Here is an 8,289-nt window from a genome sequence, read left to right on the forward strand (position 1 = left end):
GTGTAGGAACAAATATTTCCTTTCTGAGTCAAAGAAAACTTTTTATGGGGCATCTGGGTTTAATAACAATGGCGTGTTTCTGCATGATGGAGCTGGGACTTTCTATTTTCTTAATTTTCTCCAGATGTTACACACTACACACACACACGCACACTTAGATAATCAAAGCAGTTGTATGGTTCAGGGTTGACCCTTGGATACTAACGTGCGTTGCACATCCATAGTAATCATGCAACAGCAGGAGGTTCTGAATATTCAAGGCATTGCTATCTGCAAGTTCACTGGCTAAAGCAGTGGCAGAACTATTATCATTCAAGATTTACAGGGCCCACTGCCTGGCAATGGGAGAGATGAGTGTCTATAATGTAAAGAAGAATTCACCTTTGAAAAACTTCAATTCTAGAGCACAAGCCAATTAGAAGAGTGAAATACTGGATCCTATCTCCCCTAGGAAGAACTGACCTTTGCACACCCATGAGTACTGCTGTGACTCTACATCGCACGTGTTTCTCCCGTCCGTCTCCTCTCTTTGGAGTGCATGTGCAGTCCTCGCGGGGACACTGGGCCTGCTTCTCTCTGTATCCCATGCTCAGTACCATGCTTCATGTAGTAGGTACTCTAAAAGTGCTGCTTAAATGAATGAGCAGAAACTTTAGTAACTCCATGGCTGATTATCTGGAACTATTTTCTTTCTAATAATCTTTGGGATCAGTTTTCTAATAGTCTTTGGCATCTTTTTTTAATTAATTTGTCTCCTTGTAGGGGAAACATGAACAAAGAAAACCTAAACTCAGTCTATTGGTTCACAAATCTCATCAAAAGTTACAAGGGGCAGGAACTGCCCATGGTTATATGACCCTACAGTTATGAGATTGCTGGTGAGTTTTAGGTTTACAGTTTACCTCCTCTCTTCCTCTACAGGAAACACGCAGATAATTATGTGTTTTCTACTGGGACACTGCCTCCAAGGTGAACAGATATTCAAATAGATTGATAGTTCATTTATGTCAAAAATCTCTTCAACTAAAAATTCTGATAAACAGAATAGTCACAGAACCAAGTTTTGTTTAGTCCTGTGATGTAAGAAGCAGTATTCAGAAGAATGCCACTTGGTAATAATAAGACCTTTCTAAATCACCAAAGAAGTCTTTAGCCATTTCATGTAATTTTACTATCACACATTCTTATTTGCTCTTACAATTCTTTAACTAGACTGGGCACAGTGGCTCACTCCCATAGTCCCAGCACTTTGGGAGGCCAAGGTGGTCAGATCTTTAAGCCCAGGAGTTCAAGACCAGCCTGGGCAACATGGTGAAACCCGATCTCTACAAAAAATACAAAAATTAGCCAGGCATGGTGGTGTGCACCTGTAATCCCAGCTACTGGGGAGGCTGAGGTGGGAGCATTGCTTGAGCCCAGGAGGTCCAGGTTGCAGTGAGCCATGGTTGTACCACTGCACTCCAGCCTGAGTGAGAGTGAGACCCTGCCTCAAGAAATAAAAAATAAAAATAAAAGATGAATAAACTGTCTCTTAATGGTATAATATGGATAGAGGCATCTAACACTGTGGCTGACACATGATAATTGTTCAACAAATGATTGTAAAAACAAACCCTTGGGGACAAATGGCAGCATTTATACTGATTGATTAATGGTTCTCATTTTTGCAATAATCCAAATACCCTGGAGGGTTTTTTAAGGCATCTCCTGCTAGCTCCCACCCGCAGCATTTCTCATGCAGTAGGCCAAGGTTGGAGCCCAAGATTTTACGTTTCTAATAAGTTCCCAGGTGACGCTGAAGCAGCTGAGTTTGTGCCCACACTTCCGAACATGGCTGTTGACTTTTCTTTCCTATCTAAAACCCCCTCCACCTTTGGCTCATTGGTGGAGACTGCTACCGATTGCCTATCCAATATCAACTGCCCCTTTTCCTTACTAATAGACTCTGATTTTCTTCTAGGCAGCAATGCAAATACTATATTTCCCAGCCTCACTGCTGTGAAATGCAATCAATAATTCAGATGCAGGAGTTGTTTGATGGGACTTATAGGAGAATCCCTAAAGGCACTGCAAAATGGTAACACAAGTTATTTTGCCCTTTCTCCTTCTTCCATTTATGGTAATGTGGGCATGATGGTTGGAGGTACAGCAGTCATCTTGGATCATGAGGCTCTACATGAAAGATCATGGAACAGAAACACAGAACGAGCCAGGATCCTTAATGACATCGTGGGGCAGACTTGCCAGCCCGTCGATTCTTTACCTCAGATTTTTCCTATGTTAAAAAAAAAAAAAGCTCAAAAATTTTAAACCACTGTTATTTTGTTTTTACATTTTCTACAGAAAACCTAATCATATGTGATTTAGCTTCTAATGCATTGTAGCGTTCTTTTTGTCCTCTGGCTTCTCAAATTACTCCTCTCTGTCCCTCCTCCCCTTCATCCTCCTCCTTTTCCTCCTTCTTCTCCTTCTGTTCTTCTTCTTTTTAACTTTTTTTTCTTTTTTCTGCCTTTGAGAACACATCTTCTCCAGGGATTTGACCTAATCATTCTTCTTTTCTCTACTCCATCTTCCCTCTTTTCTCTCCAAACTTGTTCTTGACAATCTCAGCCAGCTTCACAGCTCCAGCTATAACCTTTATTTGAGGACTCCCAAATTTGAATCTGTAATCTTTCATTTGCAGAGAAAATGCTGCAACTGTGCATCCTCACCCAGGTATCCTAATGGACCAGCACCTGCAAGGTTTCCAAACTGAATTTCTGATCTTCCCTACAAAATCAACTACTTTTCTTCTGTTTCTCAATAGACCACCTTACTTTTTATTTCACAACATGGAAACTTCCAAGTCATCTTGAACTGTGCCTTCTCCCTTGGCTTGATAAATGATCAATTATAAACTTATCTGTAATTGATTACCCAATTTAATATCTATAATAGAAAACTCTCCTCTCCGTCCCAACTTTGATTTTTGCAGCTCAGGTATTTGTCATATTCCGGGCCAGTGAAATAGCCTTATACCTGTTTTTTCTCCCTCACTTCCACCATTTTATGTGTGTCTGTCTGTGAGTGTGGGTGAAGTACTGCTGTAATCAGATTCAACCCCCATGCAGCCACAGTAATACACCAAATACAGCCTGCTATCTGACACCAACATAGCTTTCCAAATATAATTTCCACTGCTTCTCATCATATGCTTTTTCTCAACTTCATTCATCCCATACTGATATGGTTTGGATCTGTGTCTTCACCAAATTCTCATGTTCAGTTGTAATCCCCAGTGTTTGGAGGTGAGGTCTGGTAGGAGATGATTGGATCATGGAGGTGGTCTCTAATGGTTTAACACCATGCCTCTTGGTGCTGTCATCATGATAGTGAGCTCTCATGAGATCTGGTTTTTTGCAAGTGTGTGGCACCTGCCACCACGTCTGCTTTGACCATGTAAGACTTGCCTGCTTTCCCTTCACCTTCCGCCATGATTGAAAGCTTCCTGAGGCCTCCCTAGAAGCCACTATGCTTACTGTACAGCCTGAAGAACCATGAGCAAATAAACCTCTTGTCTTTATTCAGGTATTTCTTTATAGCACTGCAAGAACAGACTAGCACATATGTGATTTACTTCTTTTAGTATTTGACCTATAATTCCCATTTGCTAAGTCGTTCATGCAGTTTCATTTGCCAATAATCCCTACTACTTCCCACTTCCTCGTGCCTGAATCCTACCTATTCTTTAGGCTCAAAAAAATGCCATCTCAAGACTCTACAAAGCCTTTCATGAGCTCTTGAGCTGAAAGTTCTCTCTCCATGCTTTCAAATCCTCTGTCATTGTATATGTATATCTTAAGGCACTAACTTTTTCCTTCCTATTGTAGTAATCAGGATACATAATTTATCTTGTGAATTAAACCTGTCTTGTTCACCTGCGGGTCCTTCAGATGATAGGTTCTCAGTAAACATATTTGAAGTGAGTAAACACTATTTTTAGTTGTTGAGTGCATGAATAAATACATACGTATTAGATGTTTGAGTGTTCCATATAATCTATCCTCTCACCACCATGGCGGCTACACACTCCACATCCACGTTCCAGCCTCCATTACTTTGGACAGAATTGGCAATGAAAAGTGAAGAAAACAAGAAGGCAAGAAAACTCAGGCTTATGTCAATATATTCCTTTCTTGAAAAATACGTAAAACAGAAAAGAAAAGGTTAAGTTTAAATGGAACTTTGATGGGTAAGAAAAGGATTGTGAACGTTTTTTGCTGCAGGAAAGATATTTTTGCTCCTTTAAAAATATTAAGAATCTTATTGAAAGGGGTCAAGTGTACCTTGTTTGAGTGTCCAACAATAGGGGCTTTCTATTCACAGCACATTTCATACTTGCTCTATTGCAACCCAACTGTTTTTCAGTGAAGCCATGTGCCTTGATTATATTATCACTGCCTTTTGAAGACTCTCCTGAGGCTTTTTTTGAGAGCAAAACCCCTTTCAGTTTCATTCCAACATGCAGGAGAAAAGGTAAGTGATGTGAATTCCACGTTGGGGTCATTAATATCACGTGCTGCACTGAGTGGGACTTCACATCCCACTCAGGGACTTCCCTTGGCTGTGTGGACAGAGGGCTGCACCCCTGCCTGACAATCTCCAGCCCCAGAGACCATACAGGCAGGTCCCAATCCTCCTCCTAGCAGCACAGACAGTCAGATATGGGGGAAGAGCACAGTTACAGGATTCTTGGTCATTTACTGAGCCTGTAATATCCTATTTATTTCACCAAGATGTGGTCAATACACTCCTCTAGTTCTCTTATCTCAGTTTTCTCATCTGGAATATAACCTGCATGGAGAATCCTTGTTTTCCATTCCGTAGAGTATGATACAAATTCTGAGGATTTAACTTACTTTTTTTCCAGTTGAGTCACCATCTGAGATACTTCTGCCACCTCAAAAGCCACAAAGAGGGTGTGGTTCATACCTATTAGATGACCCATTAGGGATGAGGGTCATGTCAGGGATATTCCTTTATTTTGTTATTTCTGTAAATATTCCCTTGCCTTCCTCCAACTGAATGTGCTGTGGGTCTCAATGAAGCAGCTCCCTACCGGAAGGGTCTGGTCACTCTCATTGGCTTTAGGAGAAGGGATGGGAAGCAGAAATCATTTTCCAACCTTCACCTTTCTGGACCAATGACTGTACACCCAGGATAGTTTGCAGAAAGCTATTAAACTGATCATCTTTCAGTTATTTTCTAAGCATCTATTAGCCCCTGGCCTTGCTACCTTCTCCTCTAGGTATCTCCCAAAGAAGTGAGGCATCCCATGCACAATTCCTCTTTTCTCTTCTCTCCAACTTGCTGTGGCTCTCTCCCTTTAAAGCCTCCTCCCTTTCGTGTCTCACCTCCCTTTTCTTGCCTAGGATGTGCCATCTTCCCAGTGATGAACCCCCATCCCTTCAGGCTTCTTAGGCCTGAAACATCCACTTAAAATCCCAATGACTTTGTCTAATTCCTCCACTTCTGTTGCTTCAGTAAAAAGGAGGAACACGTTCTAATCTCAGTGCTGGCCAACTCAAAAGGGTGAGATGGGTGAGGTGGGGATGGAGTTCTGGACTCCGTCCAGAGTATGGGGGTCAGAGGAAGAGAAATTGGGCCAAAGCAGGCTTTACTCTGGACTGTGCCCATTTTTCTCCAGAAATAATCTGAAACCAGTACATTATACTTTCATGAGAATTAATATCATTCTGAAGACCTCTGTCTGGTCTTCATGAGAAATTTGTATTCCTTTTATTTAATTTCAATTCTTGCAAGATAATAATCCTCATGTTATTATGTTAAAGGAGTATTTGCCCCTTCCCTACCCTGTGCTTTATTCCAGTTTCATCACATTTGCTGGCAGGCAATGGTGCCTTGCCCAAATCAATTTTATTGAACACGTCATGGTCCTTCCCCAATTGTGATAGGGAAGCGGGGGCATCCCCTCAACTATTCACATGTAAAACGCAGCTCTGAGCTCCAGGAAGGTGATGGATTTTAAACCTATAATGCATCCATCAGCATTGTTAACGAGCACCCAGATGATGGTCAGGTTGCCCACACGTGCACTGTGCTGTGAGTACTGATGGGATGGGCTTCCCCAGTCATGTCGAGACTCAACCCCTGAGTCTCAGAGGGGATGGAGGAGAGTGCAGAGGTTTGCTGCCATGACACACTTCATGAAGAATGTATTTTCCAACTGTCACTATTTCAGGCCAATGATCGTACACCCAAGAGAGCTTGTGGAAAGCTACTAAACCGATCATCACTCAGTCATTGTCTAACAGTCTGTTAAGACTCACCATGTGCCAGAACATATTAAAGTGCCTTCATGGGCAGTGCAGACAGGGAGAGGCACTGGGAAGTCTTCCTGTCACAGAGGGATATGGGGTTCTGTTCAAAGTAGGAACAAACTTTATTTCCTCGATGTTATCAAGAGCCTCACCACTGACGGTTCAGGTATGTTTATCTTTCCTTTGCTCTTTGTCCTGAGACACCTTGTTGAATGCTTTCTGGCCTTTAGACTGTGAAGAGGCAGCCAGGCTGGGATGATGAGAGCACTGGATTGCAGGTTTGGATCAAGGCTGTGGCCCTGGCCCTGCCACTAGCATGTTACTCTTAGGCCACATCTCTTTACCTTTCTGGACCTCTGTTGTAACCAAGGTGCTTACATTCCTTCAATACATATCAAGAGCCAAACCCAAGGACCACAGAATTCTACTCCCAAGATTTTATTCTACAGAATGTTTTTCTCAGCCTCATCATTACTTATTGACATTTTGAATCGGACAGTTCTCTGTTGCGGGAGAGGTCTTCTGCCTTGTAGAATGCTTAAAAACATCTCTGGCCTCTACCTATTAGATGCCAATAGCAACACCTCCTCCAAACTTAAGACAATCAAAGTCCCCAGACATTGCCAAATATCCCCTGCAGGACTACATCATCCACAGTGGAGAACCATTGTCCTAGGGTATCAAAGGAAAGATGGTTGTATCTGCAATTAGGTCTGTGGCAGCATTGCATGAAAACAATTTGCATTAATAGCAGGAAAAGAGTTAATAGAATTATGATACCTTCGTTTGATGGCATATCCTATAGTCATTAAAGATAAAAATAAGAAATTGCATATAAACAAAATTCATATATTAAATTATCTTATATATATAAGCAGAACATTACAACAGTGCAGCTGTGTAAAAATACTCTGGGTTGTAAAATCTGAGGATTGGAAAGAACCTTAAAGGTTAACTTACCAAACAATCTATTTTCTGATCCCCAGGTCCCTTAGGAGATGTTTTCACTAAGGGGGCATATATCTCCTGCCTAAACCCCTCTATATTCATTGCCTGTGGCTGCCACAAGAAATCACCACCAACTTCACAGTTTAAAACAACAGAATTGTTTTTCTTCCCATAGTTCTGGAAGCTAGAAGTCTTCAGAAGCCACGCTCCGTCTGAAGGCTCTAAGGGAGAATTCTTCCTTGACTCCTACACCTTCTAGTAGCTCCTGGAATTCCTTGGTTTATGGCAGCATCACTCCAGTCTCTTCCTCTGTTTTCACATGGCTTCCTTCTCTGTTTCTGTGTCTCAAATCTTCCTCTCCTCATTCTTATAAAGTCATCAGTCATTGGATTTAGGGCCCTCCCTAAATCCAGGATTATGTCATCTCCATATCTTGAACTTAATCACATCTGCAAACACCCTGTTTCCAAATAAGGTCACATTCACAGCTACGGGGGAGTTAGGATGTGGACATATCTTTTGGATAAGGGAGTCTCAGTTCAATCCACAACATAGGCTGTTGTTGATGATTAACTTCATTCCTGAGGCTGCATCTTCTATTCTTGGGCAGCTTTGAAGCAGAATGTTCTTCACGTTGCATAGACATCCTTCCATATGCATAATTATTACACATCTGAAGAAATGTCAGTAATTGGAGTGGTTGGGTAGAGAGATTGAAATAGCTTGTTTTTATTTAGATATACATTTTTTTCCAGCTAAAAGTAAAAACCTGCTTTATCTTTCCTCACAGGATTAAGTCACATAGTACATGTGAAAGAGCTTTGTAAATTTTGGGCCGCAAAACCAATAAAGGGAATCTCATTGATGATGACATCTTCATTTGGCAGATGTGTATCTGTTTGGTGTATAATACCTGAGAAGCCTCTCTTTAAGCCCAGGCTTGGAGCATCTGCAAAGGAGGATCATTAAAAATATACATTTTTTGGAAGATGAGATTTGCTATTTTAAAAATATTATTAAG

At 41.4% G+C, this 8,289-nt stretch overlaps 1 annotated feature.

Moving 5' to 3' along the window:
• Window positions 4,101-5,300: an enhancer, noted in NCBI's record as "MED14-independent group 3 enhancer chr12:5497373-5498572 (GRCh37/hg19 assembly coordinates)". NCBI's record gives its function as "activates an origin of replication core promoter dependent on BRD2, BRD4, P300/CBP and CDK7 cofactors, and independent of MED14, by STARR-seq in HCT116 cells {active_cell/tissue: HCT116}" and the evidence as "EXISTENCE:reporter gene assay evidence [ECO:0000049][PMID:35650434]".

The sequence above is a fragment of the Homo sapiens genome, chromosome 12 (assembly GCF_000001405.40).
Source record: "Homo sapiens chromosome 12, GRCh38.p14 Primary Assembly".
In the NCBI taxonomy this organism is placed as follows: Eukaryota; Metazoa; Chordata; class Mammalia; order Primates; family Hominidae; genus Homo; species Homo sapiens.